The sequence below is a fragment of the Homo sapiens genome, chromosome 14, assembly GCF_000001405.40.
Source record: "Homo sapiens chromosome 14, GRCh38.p14 Primary Assembly".
Taxonomy (NCBI): Eukaryota; Metazoa; Chordata; class Mammalia; order Primates; family Hominidae; genus Homo; species Homo sapiens.
In genome coordinates this window covers 21381088-21405701 of record NC_000014.9, presented here as the reverse complement: position 1 = coordinate 21405701, position 24614 = coordinate 21381088, and the positions used below count along the sequence as shown (strand labels likewise).

At 43.0% G+C, this 24614-nt stretch overlaps 2 protein-coding genes, 1 long non-coding RNA gene, 2 other non-coding genes and 1 pseudogene across 6 annotated transcripts in view, besides 1 other annotated feature; 4 read left to right on the top strand and 2 right to left on the bottom strand.

The window, feature by feature from the left end:
* Positions 1–20503, top strand: part of CHD8 (chromodomain helicase DNA binding protein 8) — a 70925-nt gene extending 50422 nt beyond the window's left edge. For both annotated transcript variants that reach the window (NM_001170629.2, NM_020920.4), the window contains exons 16-38: positions 238–493; positions 2039–2249; positions 2490–2685; positions 3199–3366; positions 3566–3745; positions 4189–4299; positions 4631–4827; positions 5090–5289; positions 5395–5551; positions 5632–5721; positions 5997–6100; positions 7750–7879; positions 9810–9885; positions 10350–10404; positions 10583–10790; positions 11217–11425; positions 11507–12226; positions 12448–12596; positions 12893–13195; positions 13756–13869; positions 14060–14239; positions 14639–14755; positions 19526–20503. In NM_001170629.2, the coding sequence (NP_001164100.1) occupies positions 238–493; positions 2039–2249; positions 2490–2685; positions 3199–3366; positions 3566–3745; positions 4189–4299; positions 4631–4827; positions 5090–5289; positions 5395–5551; positions 5632–5721; positions 5997–6100; positions 7750–7879; positions 9810–9885; positions 10350–10404; positions 10583–10790; positions 11217–11425; positions 11507–12226; positions 12448–12596; positions 12893–13195; positions 13756–13869; positions 14060–14239; positions 14639–14755; positions 19526–20089 (4695 nt within the window). In that variant the 3' untranslated portion in view covers positions 20090–20503. The remainder of the gene's footprint in view (positions 1–237; positions 494–2038; positions 2250–2489; positions 2686–3198; positions 3367–3565; positions 3746–4188; positions 4300–4630; positions 4828–5089; positions 5290–5394; positions 5552–5631; positions 5722–5996; positions 6101–7749; positions 7880–9809; positions 9886–10349; positions 10405–10582; positions 10791–11216; positions 11426–11506; positions 12227–12447; positions 12597–12892; positions 13196–13755; positions 13870–14059; positions 14240–14638; positions 14756–19525) is intronic.
* UBA52P2 (ubiquitin A-52 residue ribosomal protein fusion product 1 pseudogene 2) lies at positions 6475–6814 on the bottom strand (annotated as a pseudogene).
* Positions 8301–8409, top strand: SNORD8 (small nucleolar RNA, C/D box 8). The gene has a single exon (NR_002916.2). It is a non-coding gene; the product is annotated as a small nucleolar RNA, C/D box 8 (small nucleolar RNA).
* Positions 13435–14634: an enhancer, noted in NCBI's record as "CDK7 strongly-dependent group 2 enhancer chr14:21859227-21860426 (GRCh37/hg19 assembly coordinates)". NCBI's record gives its function as "activates an origin of replication core promoter dependent on BRD2, BRD4, P300/CBP, MED14 and CDK7 cofactors, with strong dependence on CDK7, by STARR-seq in HCT116 cells {active_cell/tissue: HCT116}" and the evidence as "EXISTENCE:reporter gene assay evidence [ECO:0000049][PMID:35650434]".
* On the top strand, positions 13449–13551 carry SNORD9 (small nucleolar RNA, C/D box 9). Its single transcript, NR_003029.2, has one exon. It is a non-coding gene; the product is annotated as a small nucleolar RNA, C/D box 9 (small nucleolar RNA).
* On the bottom strand, positions 13896–21429 carry LOC107984643 (uncharacterized). The gene is made up of 2 exons (XR_001750627.2): positions 20989–21429; positions 13896–14292 (listed from the first exon to the last, which is right to left on the bottom strand). It is a non-coding gene; the product is annotated as an uncharacterized LOC107984643 (long non-coding RNA).
* SUPT16H (SPT16 homolog, facilitates chromatin remodeling subunit) overlaps positions 21683–24614 on the top strand; it is a 32544-nt gene continuing 29612 nt past the window's right edge. The window contains exon 1 of the mRNA NM_007192.4: positions 21683–21840. Coding sequence (NP_009123.1) covers positions 21775–21840 — 66 coding nt within the window. The 5' untranslated portion in view covers positions 21683–21774. The remainder of the gene's footprint in view (positions 21841–24614) is intronic.

The window sequence follows — 24614 nt, the reverse complement described above, 5'->3', positions numbered from 1 at the left end:
AGGTACTAACTCAGGACAAAGAAGGTGAAGTTTGTACAAGGCAGACATCTGTTGTCATGGGTATCTCAAGGGCCTTTCTGAACTCCTTATAACCTTGTGCCTACATCATTTGTGGCATCATCCAAAGTATACATTTCTTAGATAGTGGAAAACTCTAATTTTTCCATGTTTCTACATAATGTGAGAATGTTCGCCCTCATCTTATTGATTTATTTTTCTCTCTGTAATGGACCACAGGTTCAAAAGCTACAGGCCATTCTTAAGCCAATGATGCTGAGAAGACTCAAAGAGGATGTTGAAAAAAACTTGGCACCCAAACAGGAAACAATTATTGAAGTAGAGCTGACTAATATCCAGAAGAAATACTATCGGGCTATTTTGGAGAAGAATTTCTCCTTCCTTTCCAAAGGGGCAGGTCATACCAACATGCCTAATCTACTTAACACAATGATGGAGTTGCGCAAGTGCTGCAACCACCCATATCTCATCAATGGTGAGGGAATGCTTGGTATATACCTGAACTTCTGTAGTACCTGTGTTTACTTTCCGGATGATTCTCCTTGGGGACAATGGATGCATTGACTCAACCAACCTAATTTGGGGTGCGGACTGAGGAATGGGAGGGAAATGGTTCTCCTTTTAAAAAAGAGACTCTAAGCCTGGGCAACATGATGAAATCCCACCTCTACAAAAAATACAAAAATTAGCCAGGTGTGATGGCAGGCATCTGTGGTTCTAGCTACTTTGGAGACTGAGCTTGGAGGATTGCTTGAACCCAGAAGGCAGAGGTTGCAGTGAGCCGAGATCACACCACTGCACTCCAGCCTGGGTGACAGAGTGAGACCCTGTCTCCAAATAAAGTAAATAAAAACAATTCTTATTTGGAATGTTTTTCTGTAGTTCTTTCTACCCCTTTGATCCTACATAATCTCCAAGATTAAATAGGATTTGCTGTTTAGAATTGCATGAAGAAGAACTCAGATTAGCCACACAGTGGCATGTACCTGTAGTCCCAGCTACTTAGGAGGCTGAGGCAGGAAGATCGGTTGAGCCCATGAGTTTGAAGCTAGCCCTGTCTCAGAAAAAACACTCTTAGGTTACTCTGTTCCTTGGATAAATGTCCTCATCGACACTCCATTTTGCTGTTTCTGTCTCTTTTGGGTGCTGATAGTGTGTTCCATCTTAGTCCTTGTCCACATATTTACATCTTTTTTTAACCCAGTTATCATAGGCCTGCCTTACTTAGTGTATTTTGTATGACACATCTGAGGATGATTTAAGTTTTTTTTTTTTTTTTTTTTTTAAGATGGAGTTTCACTATTGTCGCCCAGGCTGGAGTACAGTGGTGCAATCTCGGCTCACTGCAACTCTGCCTCCCAGGTTCAAGCAATTCTCCTGCCTCAGCCTCCCAAGTAGCTGGGATTACAGGCGCCTGCTACCACACCCAGCTAATTTTTTGTATTTTTAGTAGAGACAGGGTTTCGCCACATGGGGCAGGCTGGTCTCGAACTTCTGACCTCAGGTGATCTGCCCGCTTCGGTCTCCCAAAGTGCTGGGATTACAGGCGTGAACCACTGAACCCGGCTGATTTTTTTTTTTTTTTAAGGTGGAGTCTCGCTCTGTCACCCAGGCTGGAGTGCAGTGGCGCAATCTCAGCTCACTGCAACCACCACCTCCCGAATTCAAGCGATTCTCCTGCCTCAGCCTCCTGAGTAGCTGGAACTACAGGCCTCCGCCACCACACCTGGCTAATTTTTGTATTGTTAGTAGAGACGGGGTTTCACCATGTTGGCCAGACTGGTCTCGAACTCCTGACCTCAAGTGATCCACCTGCCTCGGCCTCCCAAAGTGTTGGGATTACAGGCATGAGCCACCGTACCCAGCCGATTTAAGACTTTTTTGTGCTGAAATTCTGTGTGTGAGAAATGTTGGTCTTAAGTCAAATTACATTTTTTTCCTTTTGCTTTCTTAGTTAAATAGACTACAACCTTAATATGGTTCACTGGATCTCAACATAATTTGATTTTTCTTTTGGCAGGTGCTGAAGAAAAAATCCTAACAGAATTCCGTGAAGCTTGCCATATTATACCTCATGACTTTCACCTGCAGGCCATGGTTCGTTCAGCCGGCAAACTGGTTCTTATTGACAAGTTGCTTCCAAAGCTTAAAGCTGGTGGCCATAAAGTTCTGATCTTCTCTCAGATGGTGCGCTGCCTAGACATCCTAGAGGATTATTTAATCCAGAGGAGGTAAGAAAAGAGTCATCCTAGCCTGTGGTTACTCTGTCCTCATAAAGCAGCAAAAAGTAGGAGGGCCTGGATTTAATTAGAGTTCACCAATTGCAATAAGAGAAGTTTTTAAGATTCTCACTCTCAACTTGGGTTTTTGACCAGCTTTGATATGGGAGTACTGGTATTGATCCTAGCCTGCTGTTTTGGTCTCCACTTCTGCTTAGCCACTTACATTTTTTTTCTGCGATTCCCATACAGGTACTTATATGAACGTATTGATGGGCGAGTTAGAGGCAACCTTCGACAGGCTGCCATTGACCGCTTCAGCAAGCCTGACTCAGACCGCTTTGTCTTCTTACTGTGTACCCGGGCTGGTGGACTTGGTATTAATCTTACAGCTGCTGATACCTGCATCATCTTTGATTCAGACTGGAATCCACAAAATGACCTGCAGGTAAAGGAATTCATTGTCTTAGGGACTAACTACCTAACTTGGGAGATTTTTCAACAAGAATAGGATCTTTTAGAAAGACCTTTCACAGAGTTTGGAATTGTTTCCTTAGTTAAGGGTGGCAGTTAGGTCAGGGAATCAGCAAACGTTTTCTGTAAACGACAAGACAGTAAATGTTTTAGGCTTTGTGAGCCATCGAGTCTTTGTTGCAACTGCTTATCTCCAAGTCCTGTAGCGCAAAAACAGCCATAGATAATATGTAAATGAGTGGGTGGTCCCACCTGTGTCCCCATTGAACTTTATTTTTAAAAACAGATGTCCACACAGACTTTAGTTTGCTGACCCCTGGTCTACATGATGGGGTGATAATTTCATCTTGAAATTGACTCTTGGTTTTGAGTTGATCTCATGGCTGCTCTATAGAGGTGAAAGAATCATAAATTGGTATTTTGTATCCTTTCCCTTGCTAATTTTATGATATCTTTCTCCTTTCCTTTCGTTTTTATTTTAAACCAGGCCCAGGCACGATGTCATCGAATTGGGCAGAGCAAAGCTGTGAAGGTGTACCGCCTCATCACTCGTAATTCCTACGAGAGAGAGATGTTTGATAAGGCCAGCCTCAAGTTGGGGTTGGATAAGGCTGTGCTTCAATCCATGAGTGGTCGGGATGGCAACATTACTGGAGTGAGTCCTCTTAGTTTATAGATAAGTTTGTAGTAGATCATTGTGATAGAGGGAAACAAAAGCTATTTGTACACAGGGATTTGACTACCTTGTTTGGATTCTCAATTATTATTTCTTAAAATATAATAGCTAAAATATTATGGCATGGTTAGATATTATTCTCTTGATAGTCTTTTCATCTTTCTATTGGTTTTTACAGATCCAACAGTTCTCTAAGAAGGAGATTGAAGATCTTTTAAGAAAAGGAGCATATGCAGCCATCATGGAGGAAGATGATGAAGGCTCCAAGTTTTGTGAAGAGGACATTGACCAGATCTTGTTAAGACGAACTACAACCATCACCATTGAATCTGAAGGAAAAGGTTCCACCTTTGCTAAGGCATGTTCTGTCTATGCCAGAGGCTAGAAAAACACAGAGACCGGAATCTCTAGGATTTAATTATGTTTTTATGCTGGGGATGGTGGCTCATGCCTATATTCCCAGCACTTTGGGAGGCTGAGGCGGGCAGATCACTTGAGGTCAGGAGTTCGAGACCCAGCCTGCCCAACATGGTGAAACCTCATCTCTACCAAAAATACAAAAATTAGCCAGGAATGGTGGCTTGCGCCTGTCGTCCCAGCTACTCGGGAGGCTGAGGCAGGAGAATCACTTGAACCCAGGGGGTGGAGGTTGCGGTGAGCGGAGATCGTGCCACTGTACCCCAGCCTGGGCAACAGAGCAAGACTGTGTCTCAAAAAAAAAATGTTTTTAAAACATAATTGCTGATTTTGCACCACTTAAAAAAAAAAGTCAGCTTTACCTCTGCATTTGTTTTTCTCTAGGCAAGCTTTGTTGCTTCTGAAAACAGGACAGATATTTCTTTGGATGACCCCAACTTTTGGCAAAAGTGGGCCAAAAAGGCTGACCTAGACATGGATCTGCTCAACAGCAAGGTGAGTTTCTTCTTTTAGGGAGGAAGTATCGCAGAAGACCACACTACTTTCGGGAGTCTTTACAGCTACTCTGATTATTTGATGCTAATTGTGATTTATGATGGTGTATTGTATACAAGGGCTGTTGTGGATACTTTCTACCTAGGAGGCCCCAGAAAAGTAGTTGCTTTCTGAATAATTTTGCTTTCTGTAGATTATTTTACATGTCATTTAAAAAAATCTCTGAGTATCTACACGTTACATCCAATGTTATTGTAATCCCTAATTGTCTTATTCTTTTCCCATGAGCAAATCAGGAAGAGAATTACTTCTCCTTCTGTTCTCTTCATAGAATAATTTGGTAATTGACACACCTAGAGTACGAAAACAAACGCGCCACTTTAGCACTCTGAAAGATGATGACCTGGTGGAATTCTCTGATTTGGAAAGTGAGGATGATGAGCGGCCACGCTCCCGCAGACATGACCGTCATCATGCCTATGGGCGCACTGACTGCTTTCGGGTGGAAAAGCATCTCCTGGTATATGGGTAAGACCCCAACTTACCATTAGAGGTAGTGCATAGTGCATCTCCATCCTGATAGATACTCTTGGTTTGCCTTTCAAATTGGGGGCTATGATCAAAGAAGGGATAATGTGAAAAAATATTTGCCTTGGAGGGAGTTTGTTCTGTTTATTCTGTTACCATGTTTTTTAAGATCTTTGTTTCACACCTTTTCAGAGACATGATTCTGAGGGACAGGGGACTGTCATTTCTCAGAAAAATGTTAATATAGTTTTCTGTTTTTTAGTTGGGGACGATGGCGAGATATTTTATCTCATGGACGCTTCAAGCGACGTATGACTGAACGAGATGTGGAGACCATTTGTCGGGCCATTCTCGTGTACTGTCTTCTACACTACCGTGGGGATGAAAATATTAAAGGCTTCATCTGGGACTTGATTAGCCCAGCTGAAAATGGCAAGACAAAAGAATTGCAGAATCATTCAGGTAATTATCAACTCTTTACTTTATGTTTTTCTATAGGTTAATCTAATCCTTTTCAGGTCCAAGGGTTTTTCTCAATCCAAGTCTTTGATGTCTCCCCTTTCCCAGGTCTATCTATCCCTGTGCCTCGTGGACGCAAAGGAAAAAAAGTAAAGTCACAAAGCACTTTTGATATCCATAAGGCAGATTGGATCCGGAAATATAACCCTGACACTTTGTTCCAAGATGAAAGTTATAAGAAGCACTTGAAACATCAGTGTAACAAGTAAGCATAGAATTAGCAGACATTTTCCACCTCAAACTTCTACAGTGTTACTGAGCCAGCTCTTCCTCTGTCCTTTCTAGGGTACTGTTGCGGGTACGAATGCTATACTACCTGAGGCAGGAGGTTATTGGAGACCAAGCAGAAAAGGTGTTAGGGGGTGCGATTGCCAGGTAAAATTCTGCTATATTTTTTTGATTTATGCCCTACCTTATTTGAGGGAAGATTGGTTTGCTTATTTCATTTTATGCTATCTTTGGGATACCTGATAATTTAAATCTATATATCAGGTCTTTAATCTTATACTTGACACTAGTGGGAGGAAATAGGGTAGATGCATGAGTATTTAAATTAATGGATACAGGAAGATACCTATAATAACCTTTGCAAGGATTCTCACTTTAATTTCCTGCATTTCTGTGCTGACTCTGCCCTCTTATACCTTTAGTGAGATTGACATATGGTTCCCAGTAGTGGATCAACTGGAGGTTCCAACAACTTGGTGGGACAGTGAGGCTGACAAGTCGCTGCTCATTGGAGTCTTTAAACATGGTACGTATCTTCTCCTATTCTACTCCTTTCCGACTGAAGATTTATGTTCACGGATGGAACATTTAGCAAAATGCTCCTGAGAAATAACTCAGTTATCTGATTGATCTTCAATAAATTTGAGTAGGAAAGTAGTTCTTAAATATCCAGAGCAGAGCAGTTAGTTCCTATAAATAGATGTTCAAGAAGGGCCAGATGGATAGGTAAATCTCAAGGTAGGGAGCCTCCCATCTGTTCTCTAATCACTGTTAGCAGTGTGTTACCGCACTGTATGCTATGGTAAGTTAGGGTCCCATGAATCAGGGCAGGTAATATACCCCAACTATTGTTAATAATAATCACACTTAATTTATATGACTTTCCTCTGGATGTGCACTAGCATAACAATTGCAGCAGATCATCTTGTCGCAGTTGTATTTCTGGGTGAGTAGGCAGAGGGAAGGCTCAATAATGTCACCTCAGAGGCAAAGCACCACCTGCAGGGTGGACTCTTTCTGGATGTTACAGTCTGAAAGAGTACGGCCATCCTCCAACTGTTTGTTCACAAATATCAGATGCTGCTGGTCAGGTGGGATGCCCTCCTTGTCGTGGATCTTGGCTTTGACATTTTCACTGGTGTCACTCGGCTGGACCTCAAGGGTGATGGTTTTGCCTGTGAGGGTCTTTACAGAGATCTGCATCTCTATGTCAGCTTGGCTGCCTCACTAAAGAGAAAGAGCTGAAAATCTTCTGTTTTTCTACATGTCCCATTTGTCTAAATGTTCAGCAGTCTCTCTGATATAGGTATGAGGCAGCAGTTTTTGAGTGAAATAAAAGTAGAGTATAAGAAGGGAGACTGACTAGCCAAAACAAAAATGCAGTGGGGGTAAGAATATTTCCTTACTCTTATAGCAGTTTTGCCTAATGCCAAATCCCAGGCACTAAAAACAGTAAGCGTTAACTTTCAGCCAAGTGACTTTGTGAATTAGAATGTCTTTTTTTTAAAAGAATACTTTTTTTTCTATAAAATAAAAGTAATGGCACTTAATCTACATCTTTTTTGAGACGTTTAATGGGATAAATAAAATTGCAGGTGCTGGGCATGGTGGCTTATGCCTGTAATCCCAGCACTTTGGGTGGCCAAGGTGTGCAGATCAGGAGATTGAGACTATCCTGGCTAACACGGTGAAACGCCGGCTCTACTAAAAAATATAAAAAATTAGCTGGGCGTGGTGGTGGGCACCTGTAGTCCCAGCTACTCAGGAGGCTGAGGCAGGAGAATGGCGTGAACCTGGAAGGCAGAGCTTGCAGTGAGCCAAGATCGCACCACTGCACTCCAGCCTGGGCGACAGAGTGAGACTCCATCTCAAAAAATAAATAAATAAATAAAAATAAATAAAACTGCAGGCAAGGCATGGTGGCTTACACCTGGAATCCCAACACTTTGGGAGCCTAAGGCTATCAGTCACTAGTTAAAAACTCTTCATGATTCTAAATTGCTATAAAAATGTTAAATATAGTAATAAACCCAGTAGTTGTCCAAGATAACATTCTAACTTTGTTTTCCATTATGAGCAATATAGAACATATTCTAATTATTCCAGCAGCATATAAAGTAAGCATAAAGGCAAAACAAATCTCATTTTCTTCAACTATGACCCTTTTTCTTCTAGGCTATGAGAAATATAATACCATGAGGGCAGACCCAGCCTTATGTTTCCTAGAAAAGGCTGGCCGACCAGATGACAAAGCAATTGCAGCAGAACATCGAGTGTTGGATAACTTCTCTGACATAGTAGAAGGGTAAGCATTAGTATTTGTTCTTTTAAAACTCTAACTTGTGCCGTGAAATAACTCTAGCCTTGACTGAACCCAATGGGATTCTTAATTGTAATTATACTCAAAAGTGATAGATCCTTAGCAAAAATAGGACCAGCAGAAAGGACTCCATAAACTGCATAAACCACATGTTGCCATAAGATACATCTGAGGGTGAAAATGAATGTCACTTGTAAATGGCTTATTTGATGTTCTATTTGGTTTGGTTTACAACACTCTTCTGTACAGCTACAGTAGCTGAGAGGATAACTGGTCTCTTGAAAGATAACAGCCAGCAGCTCTCATACGTTGCTTCTGTGGAAGAGCCTTAGGCGCTTTCAGCCCTGGTTTATCATCTCCCAATGGTACCTGACACATAAAGGTACTTATTTTGCCTGAAAACATGTCCCAATGATGAGTTGCCATGCTAATACTGAGCCACCAGGTAGGGCAGTGTTGCCCTGGTTTGGGTGCCAGTGAGTTTAACAAAACTTCTCACATGAAGATCTGAGGGGCATGTGAAACAGTTGGCTTAATGAATACCTCCCCATTCCATCATGACTGAGAAATTTCTCTTTGACGATCACACCCTCAGTTTGCCTAGTGTAGGACCCTCAAAGGAAATTGGGTTATTTATTCATTGCAAATCGTTTATGCCACCTGTCTGCTCAGAAGAACACAGTAATAAAAACAAAAAAGCGTGAACCATACAAATGAAATAATAAAAAGTAAATAGTTGGGTAGGAGGAAGAATTACATAATAAAAGTCAAGAAAAAGGAACTGTGTTGATCAAAGTGTTTCAAATTCAAGCAATTACGAATGGTACATTGTCAATTTCTTATAATTATTTGTATTCCATTGGATGCTATACCAGACTGACCCAAAGTTTTGCACCTGGCCTGCCATTCCTGTAAACACGAAATTAAATACTAGGCCAGGCACTGTGGCTCATGCCTGTAATCCCAGCCCTTTGGGAGGCCACAGTGGGTGGATCACAAGGTCATCAGTTCGAGACCAGCATGGCAAATAAGGTGAAACCCCGTCTGTACTAAAAATACAAAAAAAATTAGCCAGGAGTGGTGGCGCATGCCTGTAATCCCAGCTACTTGGGAGGCTGAGGCAGGAGAAACACTTGAACCCAGGAGGCGGAGGTTGCAGTGAGCCGAGATGGCACTGCTGCACTCCAGGTGATGGAACAAGACTCCATCTCAAAAAATAAATAAATAAATAAATAAATAAAAGACTAGGCCAGGATGGGATCACTTGAGCCCAAGAGTTTGAGACCAACCTGAGCAACATGGTGAAACCCCATCTCTACTAACAATACAAAAATTAGCCTGGCATGGTGGTGGGTATGTGTAGATCCCAGCTACTCAGGAGGCTGAGGCAGGAGAATCGCTTGAACCCGGGAGGCACAGGTTGCAGTGAGCTGAGATCATGCCACTGGAATCCAGCCTGGCCTACAGAGTGAGACTCTGTGTCAAAGAATATATATATAAAAATAAAAATAAGGCCAGGCATGGTGGCTCACTCCTGTAATCCCAGCATTTTGGGATGCCAAGGCGTGTGAATTATTTGAGCCCAGGAATTTGAGATGAGCCTGGGCAATATGGCAAAACCCCACTTCTAAAAAAATATGAAAATTAGCCGGGTGCGGTGGCACACACCTGTAGTCCCAGCTACTCAGGAGGCTGAGGGAGGAGGATCGCTTGAGTCCAGGAGGTTGAGGCTACGGTGAGCTGTGATAGGGCCATGACACTCCAGCCTGGGCGACAGAGTGAGACCTGTCTCAAAAATAATACTAATAAAGATTATTTCATGCTGGATATATGTGTGGCTAGGTCTTCATCCTAGGTTCCCTTAGTGATAGAAGATACATTATTAACATTTTCTTGTGCCTCTCCATAATTTTAGGGTTGACTTTGATAAAGATTGTGAAGATCCTGAATATAAACCACTCCAAGGTCCCCCAAAGGACCAAGATGATGAGGTAAGGAATTCTCATTTGAGTCTCACTTTTCTCTATTACTAAATAGTTTTAAGTCTTCAACCATTCTCTGAATCTTGAAATATATTGGTTAATTTATAATACAAAATGGAAAATGAATTATACCATTTGAGAATAGAAAATATTAATGGAAAGGACTGTAATGCCAGTAGGGGGAGATCAGGGATAACTTTATGGAGGAGCTGGACACTGAAAGATATTATTTGACTAATAAATTCCTGACTTCTATTATCTTTGAGTCGTTAATAGGAACTGACCTTTCAGGTTCTACTTTCTTGTTCTTTTAGTTGATTGTTTCCAAGTTTTTGTGGGGATATATTTCTTTAGAAGTTTTTCTTGATCCCTTGGTGCCATAGAAGGACACACACAAGAAAGTGATTTCAGAGTGCCAACTTCCCCCCCTTTCCCTCCCCGCTCCATCCTATTGGGTGGATCTCCTTCTCTAGGGTGATCCCTTGATGATGATGGATGAGGAGATCTCAGTGATTGATGGAGATGAAGGTAAACTTCTAGGTCAACTAGTATAATTCTGTGTGGGGTGGTGGGTTGGGGAATTATTCACTGAATTCTGTCCTATCCTGGGATTTCTAAGAGCTTTGCCTTTGGGTGGGTTAAAATACTAGTATTGCCTCTACTACCCTTGCTATACTTCCTATTCATTCTACTTTGTTTTCCACAGCCCAGGTGACCCAACAGCCAGGCCATTTATTCTGGCCTCCGGGCTCTGCCCTAACAGCTAGGCTTCGGCGTCTAGTAACAGCGTATCAGCGCAGCTACAAGAGAGAACAAATGAAGATAGAGGCTGCAGAACGTGGGGACCGGCGAAGGCGGCGTTGTGAAGCAGCCTTCAAGCTGAAAGAAATTGCACGGCGGGAGAAACAACAACGGTAAAATATAGCTGGGAACTTGTGCTGATCTGTGTTTTCAGTTATGGTCCCTATACTGAAAGCCATCTCAGGAAGGATTTATTTGGAATTCTCTACAGAGGGACCATCTTTTCTGCCTTGGGTAGTTAAACCTGTAGAAATTAAAACCTCACTTGCATGCAGTAATCATTAACTCTCAGGTAGGTCTCCTGTGTAGACATTTTCATTGATATTTGTCTGTGTCTTTTCCCCCTTGGCTCTGTAATTCTTACTCATTACAGAGTACCTCTCACTACCTCTTCTGGGCCTTTTTTTTTTTTTTTTTTTGCGTCTACTTTCAATTTTTGTGTTTTCAGATATTCTAAAACACATTAAAAAATAACCAGTTTTCTTGTGTTCTTCTGATGTGTTCTTCTGATTATTGTTGCCCTACTTTTCCTTTTGTAGATGGACAAGGCGTGAACAAACTGATTTTTATCGAGTGGTGTCTACGTTTGGTGTGGAATATGACCCTGACACCATGCAGTTCCATTGGGATCGCTTCCGCACTTTTGCTCGACTAGACAAAAAGACAGATGAAAGCCTTACCAAGTACTTCCATGGCTTTGTGGCCATGTGCCGCCAAGTATGCCGCCTTCCCCCAGCAGCTGGAGATGGTAAGCAAGATTGCAGAGTGGGTGAGGATGGATGCCAACAGAAGCAACTCTGTTAATTTCTTCTACTCCTGTCTCTTGCAGAACCCCCCGACCCTAACCTGTTCATTGAGCCCATCACTGAGGAGAGAGCCTCACGGACTCTCTACCGTATAGAATTGCTTCGGCGCTTACGGGAACAAGTTTTATGCCACCCCCTTTTGGAAGATCGGCTGGCATTGTGTCAGCCTCCTGGTCCTGAATTGCCCAAATGGTGGGAGCCTGTTCGGCATGATGGGGAGCTTCTAAGAGGGGCAGCCCGCCATGGGGTGAGCCAAACAGACTGCAACATCATGCAGGACCCAGACTTCTCTTTTCTGGCTGCCCGTATGAATTATATGCAGAACCATCAAGCAGGAGCACCAGCTCCATCCTTGTCACGCTGCTCTACTCCACTGCTGCACCAGCAGTATACCTCACGCACTGCCTCACCACTGCCCCTGCGCCCAGATGCTCCTGTTGAAAAGTCACCCGAGGAGACAGCTACCCAGGTCCCCAGTCTGGAGAGTCTGACTTTAAAGCTAGAGCACGAGGTGGTGGCCAGGAGCCGACCAACCCCACAAGACTATGAGATGCGAGTATCCCCCTCTGATACTACCCCTCTGGTTTCCCGGAGTGTTCCACCAGTCAAACTGGAGGATGAGGATGATTCGGACTCTGAGCTGGACTTGAGCAAGCTGTCACCATCTTCTTCTTCTTCCTCATCCTCATCCAGCTCCAGCTCCAGCACTGATGAGAGTGAGGATGAGAAGGAAGAGAAGCTAAGTGAGTGCATGTGACAGGCTGTTGGCCCCCTTCCCTATTTCCCCCTCTCTTCTCTTTCCCTTTTCTAAATGCATCCTCTTGAGAGAGATTTGGATTTTGATTTGATAAAATGTCAAAAGAGTGCCATTCTTTGGGCCTTTATTCAAAGCCCATATAATACCATTACCATATGACATTATTCTTCCATCTTTTCTCACACATTCTATGGGCTCTCTTACCAGCTGACCAGTCCCGCTCAAAGCTCTATGATGAAGAGAGTCTCCTGTCCCTCACTATGTCCCAAGATGGATTCCCAAATGAAGATGGAGAACAAATGACCCCTGAGCTTCTGCTACTGCAGGAAAGACAAAGAGCCTCTGAGTGGCCCAAGGTAACAAACAGCCTCATCCCTGGACATGTAGAGTCCAGAAATACAGTGTAACAGTATATCCGGGGAAAAAGGAACATATGGTTCTGGATTTTTAAAATTGTGTTTATTGCTGCAAGTTTTTTTTTTTTTTTCCAGGAAACTTCCCAGTTGACTTAGGAATCTTAATAGTATTAACTTCCTCTTTTCTGCCTTATGATTTTTACCCATCCTGGTAGTGATGGCACTATTGAGTATCACAGGATCACACAGCTAGTACTCAGACTCTTAAAATGGTATTTCTTTCTTTCCCCATTCAGGATCGTGTCCTGATAAACCGTATTGACCTCGTCTGCCAGGCTGTACTCTCAGGGAAGTGGCCTTCTAGCCGTAGGAGCCAGGAAATGGTAACAGGAGGAATTTTGGGGCCAGGCAACCACTTGCTAGACAGTCCCTCATTGACTCCTGGAGAATATGGTGACTCTCCAGTCCCCACACCACGAAGTAGTAGTGCAGCTTCCATGGCAGAGGAGGAAGCATCTGCAGTCAGCACAGCGGCAGCCCAGTTCACCAAACTTCGCCGAGGCATGGATGAAAAGGAGTTTACAGTTCAAATCAAAGATGTAAGCTCAGCATTTGGGCATTGGGAAGTGGGGAAGGAGGCTGGAATCCTTGCTGTAACTAATTTTACTAATAGGTTACTAAACTCATTTGGTTAGCTAATTTTAAAAATGAGAAAACAGAGCTTACAAAGATCCATTTAGGAAGAATCATTTTTCCTGGTTGTTTTCCTTATTGAACCCTATTGATTATTAATCCTATTAATATTCAACAAAAGTTTCTTAAATTAGTATGCTTAGGAATAGCAGGATTTTGCCCCTGTGATGAGTTGCCATGCTAATACGGAGACACCAGGTAGGGAGTTTTACCCTAACTTGGGTGTTGTTGAAATAAACTCTTTCTCGTAAATGCTGAGGGGCACTAGGTGAAGAAGTGAAATCTTTCTAAGGAAAAAGTGTGTATGTTTTCTTGTATTTCTAATTTTACCCTTTAGTCAGATGGCCTTCCTTCTCACCATCATTGGGCAAGAGGATGACCTATAGCCCACATCCCTCAAAGCTTAATCTTTACTTTGAAAAACATGTACCATATGATGTCTTGGGTGGGTGGGTTGTCTTCCTAGGAGGAAGGATTGAAGTTAACATTCCAGAAGCACAAGTTGATGGCGAATGGAGTAATGGGAGATGGACATCCACTGTTTCATAAGAAGAAGGGGAACAGAAAGAAGCTAGTAGAGGTGAGTGGTAGAGAAAGTCTTTAACCTGACGATTAGATTGTCTTTTTATTCCCAATAATTGATGAAGGCAGTGGGACTGGGGGAATGGAAAATACTAGAGTCATTTCATGACTACCATTGGCCCTGCTCCCCCTCCCTCCCTCCCCCAAAGAAGAGTATGTGCTCATGGGGGTGGATTCTGGGTTTGCAGCTGGAGGTGGAGTGCATGGAAGAGCCTAATCACCTTGATGTGGACCTGGAGACCCGGATCCCTGTCATCAATAAGGTGGATGGTACTTTGCTGGTGGGTGAGGATGCCCCTCGCCGGGCTGAACTGGAGATGTGGTTACAGGGTCATCCAGAGTTTGCTGTTGATCCCCGATTTCTAGCGGTGAGTGGCAGTCCCATCCAGCAAGATTTAAAGTCATTCCTTTGGTATTTAAGCTGCATGAGAAAGAGAAAGCATGACATACTGTATCATCGTTTCTGTATCTGCAAGATAAGGGTAATAATTAATAATACCCAGTCTTCCAACCTCACAATTGTTGTGATGCCCAAAATAAAATAATGTTGAAGTACTTTAAGTGCTAGGCAAATATTTACTATTGAACTATTATATAAACCACCTAATATTTTTTGGAGAGATCCCACTTAATGGCAGTTTTCCACTAGGATGAATCCTTTATCTATGTAATAAGTGTTTATTATCAAACAAAAGACACTAGTACTTTAATAATTACTCCAGAGAAGATTTCTATTCCTCTAGGATAACTGATTTTTTCTATTGCAGTATATGGAGGATCGCAGAAAACAGAAGTGGCAAAGATGTAAAAAAAATAATAAGGCAGAATTGAACTGTTTGGGAATGGAACCAGTACAGACAGCTAACTCTAGAAATGGGAAAAAGGTGAGAGAAATTGCAGCATTACCACTCTATTCCCACACTAGATGTGAGATTACAAGTCTTTCAATGATGATTGTGACTAATGTTATTTATCTTTTTTCCTATGTTTGTTTGTGTGAAGAATTATCTTGAGTTCACCAATAAGGAAACCGGAGTTTTCTGGGGTTTTTTTTTTTTTTTTGAGACGGAGTCTCACTCTGCTGTCGTGCAGTGGCGCAATCTTGGCCTACTGCAACCTCCGCCCGCCGGGTTCAAGCAATTCTCGTGCATCAGCCTCCTGAGTAGCTGGGATTACAGGCACCTGCCACCGCGCCTGGCTAATTTTTGTATTTTTAGTAAAGATTGGGTTTCACCATCTTGGCCAGGCCGGTCTTGAACTCCTGACCTCGTGATCCACCCGCCTCGGCCTCCCAAAGTGTTGGGATTACAGGCCTGAGCCACACTGCACCTGGCCCAGAGTATTTTTATCAGTATTTTTGCAGTCCTGTGGTATCTTCATCTCTAGGAGAGCATAACATTCTAAAAACTAACTTTAGTACTTGATGCATATGAAAATTTAAGAATTAGTAAGATGGGTTAGAGAGAACATTCAGATCTTACTCTGTTCTTCTATTGAATAACTAAGGGATTTTGGACAAATCCTTTAACCTCTTCAGTTTTTACATCCTGAAAAGTGAGGGTTTTAAAGCAATTTCTTAAGTTTTCTGTTTTTTTGAGACATGGTCTCACTCTGTCACCCAAGCTGGAGTGCAGTGGCACCATCTCAGCTCACTGCAACTTCTCCCTCCCCTGGTTCAAGCCATTCTCCTGCCCAGCCTCTCAAGTAGCTGGGATTGCAGGCGTGCACCACCAGGCCAGGCTAATTCTTTGTATTTTTAGTAGGGACGAGGTTTCACCACGTTGGCCAAGCTGCTCTGGAACTCCTGGCCTCAAGTAATCCACCCGCCTTGGCCTTCTGAAGTACTGGGATTACAGGCTTCAGCCACCGCACTCGGCCTTAAGTTTTCTAATTCTATATATTTTAGAAGTGTTTGGAGAGGTCTTCTAAGGAAAATAGTCATGAGATTTCCCAATATATAAAGGTTGAGAATCACTAATAATATGTCAGTAATGGAAAAAGCAGAGGAAACTGTTTTGTAATTCATAATAAATTTGTCCATTAAGTTATTCTATATTTTCAAATTTACTTATACTTTTATGATGGATAATAGGCCATTTGGTGGACTAAGTACCCACAGTTTATTCTTTCCACCAAATTTCAACTGCAAAAGTTTCTCTTGGCTATGCTTACCTTACTTTCTGCAATAGTTGTATTTGTTTTTTAATCTTTTATTTTTTTGAGACAGAGTCTTGCCCTGTCACCCAGGCTGGAGGGCAGTGCCACAATCTCAGCTCACGGCAAGCTCTGCATCCCCGGTTCAAGTGATTCTCTTGCCTCAGCCTCCCAAGTAGCTGGGACCACTGGCGCATGCTACCATACCCAGCTAATTTTTGTATTTTTAATAGAAAGAAGGTTTTGCCATGTTGGCCAGACTGTTCTCAAACTCCCGACCTCAGGTGATCCACCTGCCTAAGCCTCCCGAAGTACTGGGATTACAGGCATGAGCCACTGTGCCTGGCCAATAGTTGTAATTTTTTTTTTTTTTTCCTGAGACGGAGTCTTGCTCTGTTGCCCAGGCTGGAGTGCAATGGACTGATCTCAGCTCACTGCAACCTTTACCTCCCAAGTTCAAGTGATTCTCCTGCCTCAGCCTCCCGAGTAGCTGGGATTACAGGTGTGTGCAACCATGCCCAGCTAATTTCTGTATTTTTAGTAGAGACGGGGTTTCACCATGTTGGTCAGGCTGGTCTCGAACTACTGACCTTGTGATCCACCCGCCTCAGCCTCCCAAAGTGTTGGGATTACAGGCGTGAGCCACAGCGCCTGGTCAATAGTTGTATTTTTAAAGCATACATAAATCATTGTTTTAAATGACATAGAGTCATTTAAAATGGATTAGCACTTGTATATACTTGCCTTATCTAATTATTCCCCCATTTGATCTTCTATAGAAATCTTTATACACATACAGTCATCCCTTGGTATCTGTGAGGGATTGGTTCCAGGACCCCTGCAGATACCAAAATCCATGGATGCTCGAGTCCTTTATATATAAAATGGTGTAGAGCCAGGTGCGGTGGCTCTTACCTGTAATCCCAGCACTTTGGGAGGCTGAGGCAAGAGGATCACTTGTGCCCAGGAGTTCAAGACCAGCCTGGGGACCCCAGTGGGACCTTATCTCTACAAAAAATTAGCTGGGCGTGGTAGTGCAGTCCTCTAGTATCAGCTATGTGGAAGCTGAGGCAGGAGGATCACTTGAGCCCAGAGGCTGAGACTACAGTGACCCATGATCATGCCACTGCACTCCAGCCTGGGCAATAGAGTGTGAGACCCTGCCTCAAAAAATAAATAAATAAATAAATAAAATCATGTAGTATTTCCATGTAACCGACACACTTCCTCTGATACACTTTAATCTCTTGATTACTTATAATACCTAACACAATATAAATACTATGTAAATAGTTGTTACACGGTATTGTTTTAAAATCTGTAGTATTTTCTCTTGTTATTTTTTAGTTTCTTGTTGTTTTCAAATATTTTCAATCCACAGATGGTTGAATCCATGGATATGGAAGGCTGACTATGTGCATACACATATATTTATGTGTCTATATAACCACATGGAATATCTTTTAACAAAATTAATTTTAAAGTAAACTATCAATATTTTGCATTTAACAAGTTTGAAACATAAAATATATGTAGATTTATGAGGCTTATTTTTATATTAATGGAAGTGTTACCATGGGAGAATGTTTCAGTTTTCCCTGTTAGCCTCGATGAGAACAAGAGTGCAATAAACAGAATGGTTGATATGGGAAAGGCTGGTGGCTAGAAGGCTAATGCCATCTCTGTCTTTAATTTAACATTATAGAGCAGCCTGTAAGAAGGGCTTTTCCTTCACTGTTACCTATTTTTACCTCAAGTACTTCTGCTACTCCCTTATAGTCAACTGAAACTCTTAAGAAATATCATAGAAAATCACAGAAAATCCTAATATGACTAGTACAGAATTCTTTTTTTTTTTTTTTTTTTTGCTTGAGACAGAGTCTCGTTCTGTAACCCAGGCTGGAGTGCAGTGGCATGATCTCAGCTCACTGCAACCTCCGCCTCCTGGGTTCAAGTGATTCTCCTGCCTCAGCCTCCTGAGTAACTGGGATTGCAGCCATGCACGACCACACCCAGCTTTTTTTTTTTTTTTTTTTTTGATACAGAGTTTCACTCTTGTTGTCCAGGCTGGATGGAGTACAATGCCGTGATCTCTGCTCACCGCGATCTCCGCCTCCTGGGTTCAAGCGATTTTTCTGCCTCAGCCTCCCCAGTAGCTGGGATTACAGGCATGCGGCACCACGCCCAGCTAATTTGTTGTACTTTTAGTAGAGATGGGGTTTCTCCATGTTGGTCAGGCTGGTCTCGAACTCCCAACCTCAGGTGATCCGCCTGCCCTCAGCCTCCCAAAGTGCTGGGATTACAGGCGTGAGCCACCACGCCTGGCTGACTCCCGGCTAATTTTGGTATTTTTAGTAGGGACAGAGTTTCGCTATGTTGGCCAGGGTGGTCTTGAACTCCTAACCTCAAGTGATCCACCTGCCTCAGCCTCCCAAAGTGCTGGGATTACAGGCATGAGCCACCACGCCTGGCCCAGAATTCTTAATATAGAATTGACAGTGAATCTAGCACTACGTTATTCTTGGGACCTGCAGGAATAACTTCTATCTTCAATGAACTTAATCAGAATTTTTAGTCAGAACATCTAGAAGAAGCCATTTAAAATTCAGATATGTAAGTTTTTTATCAATGTGGAACAAAAATTATTTTATTAAATTTAGTGAGGAGTTTCTGACAGTTTTTTGGTGTTCTAGACATGTAGAAATCTTTATCTGATCTGTCTTGAATTTACCCTGCTTTGATGTGCTAATAGAGGATATTATTGTAAATGTCAATTCACATAGTAAGAACAAGTGAACAACTTGCCATCAGGAGACACGAGTGATTTTTTTTTTTTTTTTGAGACGGAGTCTCGCTGTCGCTCAGGCTGGAGTGCAGTGGCGCGATCTCGGCTCACTGCAAGCTCTGCCTCCCGGGTTCACACCATTCTCCTGCCTCAGCCTCCCGAGTAGCTGTGGGACTACAGGCGCCCGCCACCTTGCCCAGCTAATTTTTTGCATTTTTAGTAGAGACCGGGTTTCACCGTGTTAGCCAGGATGGTCTCGATCTCCTGACCTTGTGATTCCCCCGCCTCGGCCTCCCAAAGTGCTGGGATTACAGGCGTGAGCCACCGCGCCCGGTCACAAGTGATTTTTTTTATGTGCATTTACTAATTCATTGTCTTACCCAGACCCCTTCTTAACAAAGGTAAGCATTTGTGAAATGGTTGACTAAAGTAAAGATACAATATAGTCATGGGGAAAAGAAGCAAAAACTGGTTAATATGAGTTTCGGTACAAAATCATTGATCTTAACTTTAGTATCAGAATGTTTCAACCAGCTAAGTCCAGCATTTCCTCCTTCCCATTACCACCAATCAAGCCTAGTATCGCTGTGCTTGTTTTGCCTCTTCTAAGGTACATTCAGTAAAAAAGCATTGTAAGCTAGGACTCTGTTGGCTTTGGTTTCTTTTCTTTTTTCCCCTTTCTTTCTTTTTATTATCTTCTATTCCCTCCTCCTAGGGTCATCACACTGAAACGGTGTTCAACCGGGTTTTGCCAGGGCCTATTGCACCAGAGAGCAGCAAGAAGCGGGCCCGTAGGATGCGACCAGACCTTTCTAAGATGATGGCCCTCATGCAGGGTGGAAGCACTGGGTCTCTATCTCTGCATAACACGTTCCAACACAGCAGTAGTGGCCTACAGTCTGTGTCATCTTTGGGTCACAGCAGTGCCACTTCTGCATCTTTGCCTTTTATGCCATTTGTGATGGGTGGTGCACCATCATCCCCTCATGTAGACTCCAGCACCATGCTTCATCACCACCACCACCACCCCCACCCCCACCATCACCACCATCACCATCCAGGCTTGAGAGCCCCTGGCTACCCCTCTTCACCAGTGACTACCGCCTCTGGTACTACCTTGCGGTTGCCACCACTGCAACCTGAGGAGGATGACGATGAGGATGAAGAAGATGATGATGACTTATCTCAGGGCTATGATAGCTCAGAAAGGGACTTCTCACTCATTGATGATCCTATGATGCCAGCTAACTCAGACTCCAGTGAAGATGCTGATGACTGAAGCCCCAGCATGGGCCCCATTGCTTGGGCGGCTGCTGTATTTTCATTTACTCTGGCCCTTGGACTATGGAAACGTGGGAGGGGCAGGGGAGATGTGGGGAAGTCCAGGACTCCAGGAGGTGAAAAGGAAAAAAAAAAAAAAATGTACCTGATTGCTCCCAATTATGAGAGGATTGGGTGGGCAGGGGAACTCCTAAAATAATACATGACCACTTCCTCATTTCTGGGGAAGGAAAGGAGACTAGAGCAGCTGGTGTGCTCACCCCTCCCTAGTCACCTCCATTAACCACAGACTATGTAGCGCTGGCCCTAGCCTCTGGCAGAGCCTGTTCCTGGCCGAACTGTGGATACAGCTGGAGGGTCAGGAACTGTTACCTTCTTTCCCCTTGGCATTAATAAATTTAAGTTAATCCTTTTCCACTCTTCCTTTGTTCTATGTTTGCTCAAACCCAGTGTATTGATTTTGAGTTGTTAATGGTGGGTAATTTCAGCACCACTTTCCTTAAGTTCAATACTGTTTATACTAAATTGCCTTACAGCAGACAAGTCATCTGTACTCCTCTAAAGGGTATATACAAATGTAGACTGTCCAGCTGGCTAAAGGCAAGGGAATTATTTAAGGTAAATGGTAGGTAGGCAAACTTCTGGATTCAAACTCCAAGTTTTTAGAAGAGACAGGGAGCAAGAATGTCATCAGGAACCATTTATGTTTTGTTTCTAATTAACTGAAGTAACGGTTATTTGGGGGAAGCCATAGAATAGTGCCAGTTTTCATGAACTGCAGCAAGGGGACTGGCCGACTGGAAGGATGCTGCCGCGACTTGGGCTCAGGGGGTGGGGTTGTGGGAAGGAACTAAAAGTTTGTAGAGCCCCTCAAGTCATCTGTTTCCTCTGACTTACACCATCCCACTGCTCAGTTAAAGCTTGCGCATATTATTTTCCTTTCGAAAACTAGGTTCCTCCCCCAGCTTGGGTCGTAGTTTATCACGAGGCTGGGCTCCATTTCCCTGGTATGAGTCCTCTGTCCCGGCGGAGCGCTTGACCCAGCATCCTGGCACCGAGGATCCCTCGAGTCCTGGAGCAGTCAAGGGCTTTTGCATTCCCATCATTTCTAGGAGGGGCGCATGCCCAGTTACACTGTAGTAGTCCCACTTTTATCCCACGCTAGATCCCGCTCTTTCCGCTCCCCCTTCCTTTGCAGATGGGGTGGAGCTATAACACCCGCGCGCGGCAGCTCTTGTGGGCGGGGCAGGCGCCGCCTCCTTCGCTTCGTCTAGGGACTGCCGCCTCGGCAAAAAGTCTGAGGTCCTGGAAACCGCCGCTGGGCTGAGAGTTAATAAGGGCGGAGGCAGACCGTCACGTGACGACGTCGATTCGCGTGCGGCAGTGGCGAAGTTGACAAACCCCGCGAAAATCGACTCTTTGCATCGCACATTTTGTTGATTTTCCCTCGTTTTTCTTTCTCTCTTTCCCCCGTCCATCCGAAAGAGGGTTGGAAAAAAACAAAACAAACAAACAAACAAAAAAAAAACCTAACGCTGTTGGGACCCGGAAGCGGAAAGGGCATCTTTGAGGTCGATACTTCCGGGTCATTGGGAGAGTGCGGGATTCCTGGGCCGAGAGCGGGTGGCTGAGCCGGGACCTCGCGTGATTCTCGGAACCCGAGGAGAAGCGGCGTCCGGGGCTATGGCTGTGACTCTGGACAAAGACGCTTATTATCGGCGAGTGAAGAGACTGTACAGCAATTGGCGGGTGAGGAAGATCCTGTAATTTTTCCTAGGGAGCCCCCTTAGCCATCCCATAATAACCCTGTTTCTCGGCGCCCTTTTTTCTCTTTCGGTCAGGAATTCCCGGGTTCTGTGCCTCACCCTTTTCGTTGCTCCCGAATCATTCACCGGAGGCGGCCACGAACGCTGCCCCTTAACAGGGAATCCCCCGCATTCACCCTGTCCTGCGGCCATCACCATCTTCCCCGCGTGCCAGCCTTGGTCATGCATAGCAGCACCTCTCGCAGTCTCTTCCCGCCCTAGAAGAGGCAACATCCTTCCCTCCTACTCCGTGGTCACGTCTTGCTGCCCTCCCCTGCCGTGTTCTCACGCACTCGCTCTGTCCCTCCAGAACCACAATATTCCACCCCTGGTCCCGCCAGGATTATAACCGTCTTCGTAAAGGAGAGATGGAAGGGCAAGGAGGATGTCAATCGGGCTTTTAGCGTTTATCGTTTGCGGGGCTTTTGCTGGAGTTAAAAAAAGAAATACTGCTCACGCGCAACCGCCTCATGTTCTAGGCCCTGCTGTGGGTTACAGAGAGGGACCTAACGCTGAAAGCCTGCAGGCATTAGTAATAACAAAACAAAACAAAACGATGCCTAAAACCTTATTAGTTCCTTGGTAGCGTATCCGGGGCACGTGTTCATTAAAAGAGCTGTGGCAGTTCCCAGTTTTTTAAAGATTCGGCAGTTTTGCTGCTCTAAAAACGTCCACAGTTAAAACTTATTTTTATGATGTTAACTTACTAATTGAGCAAACATTTGGTTGCATTCTGTGATGCAGTCTGAGTTGGCTAGCTTAAGTCTTGCCCCTGAACCCTGTCATCAAGGGAAGATACAGCTAATAAAGATTTTTTTTTAACCTGAAAAACGTTTTGAGAAAAATGATCAGCTCTCATTTCAGCATTGTAAATTATCTTTCAAACTGGTCATCTACTAAAACCAAGCCATTAAAATTGGTCGTTTCCTTGCCATTCATATTAAAGCTGTCTGTGCATGTTTCATCTTTTGGGGCTAAATACATTAGATAATTGAAAATAAAATTGATTCTCTTGCATTTTATGAAAAGGAAAAATAAGAACTAAATGCTAGATGAATACTGAACATTTTATTTTTTTTAATTTTTTGATTAATTTCTACCAAATGATTTTTTGCAGCTTCTCTCAGTGTCATATTATTCAAACATAATCGATGTTAGAAAAACATTTTAAAACCTTGATACTTTCTAATGATCAGTAAGTACTAAAAATCCGAAGCCCTCTCTTGTACCCATAAACCCTGAAACTGTGAACCTTTGGTATGAAAATTGTTTCTAGTCCCAGTGATTCAGATTCATCAAATAATTTCATTCTCTCTATACCATTCATGAAAACTAATCTATAGCTCTCACTTCCTCTACATGACAAATTAACTGTGGCCTGAAGACAGGTTGGCAAACCTAATAAAACTGATAGTCTTTAAATCCATGAAAGTTATTTCCCACCCACCATTTTTTTTTGTATCTCAAAAATCTTTAAAGTTTATCTTGGCCCTCTTACTACCTTAATGACATCATCTTGGGAGAATGTTAGATATTGATAAGACACTGATGGTGTAAAGTTATGAGCCAAATCTATGTAAAAATGTACCAGTTAACAAAACCTGTGGCTATTATGAAAAACTTACTTGAATAAGACTTTCTGCTTTTGTGTTAATGTGTCCAGAACCCACCTGTAGAAGTTCTTTGTGTATGCAGTCTTTTCACCCTACAGTGCTTTCATTCTGATACACTTAATCAGAGATAGTAGTTTTCTGGGTTAAATCTAGTCGCTTATCCTCCTGGATATAGCAGAAAGATAGTGGGATATATAGGTGTGTTGTATAACTTTTCTCTTTTACACCTTTTCCTTTTTTTAATAAGAAAACTGGGATTGAAATAGAATAAGTTGAAGTTAATGGTAAAAATTCCAAACCTGGCTGGGCACCGTGACTCATGCCTGTACCCAGCACATGAGGCCAGGAGTTAAAGACCAGCCTGGGCAAGATGATGAGACCCCCGTCTCTACAAAAAAAAAAAAAAGGCAAATAAATTAACCAGGCATGGTGGTGTGTGCCTATAGTCCTAGCTACTTGTGATGCTGAGGCAGAAGGATCCCTTGAGCCCAGGAGTTTGAGGCTGCAGTGAGCTGTAATCGCATCACTGCACTCCAGCCTGGATGAGACCCCGTCTTTAAAAAATAAATTAAAAAAAAAAAAAATAAATCCCAAGCCTTTTGCTTTCAGCTTCCATCTTAAAAAAAAAAACTGTTATGACTAAAATTAACTAAAAAATGATTTGGGCTCCAAACCCACTTTTAATTTTAAATACTCTTGATTATAAGCCCTTAAAAGCTGTAGTGGTTGAACCTGGTAGTTCCAGCAGTCCAAATACAAGTACACAGGGTTGTAGAGAACTGATAGGCTACTAAGCTTTTTCTTCCCTTTTTTAAAAATAAGAATAGGAATTAACCTTACCTATCTGCAAGTTAATTTTCAGTTAGGTACATATTTTGAGGCTATTGCAAATAAAATATTTTTTAATTATAATTTTCATAACTTATGTCCTAAAAACAATTGTAGTTACCATGTACTTTTAACTGAATAGAAATTTCAAAAATATTAAGCCCTGTATCTAAGTAAATCGTGTCATTTTAGAGATGGGAAAATGGAGTCAGTCAAAAATCAACAGGAGACCTTAGAACGTACTATTGTTTTATGACTCCTGGAGGTTTGAGTCTAG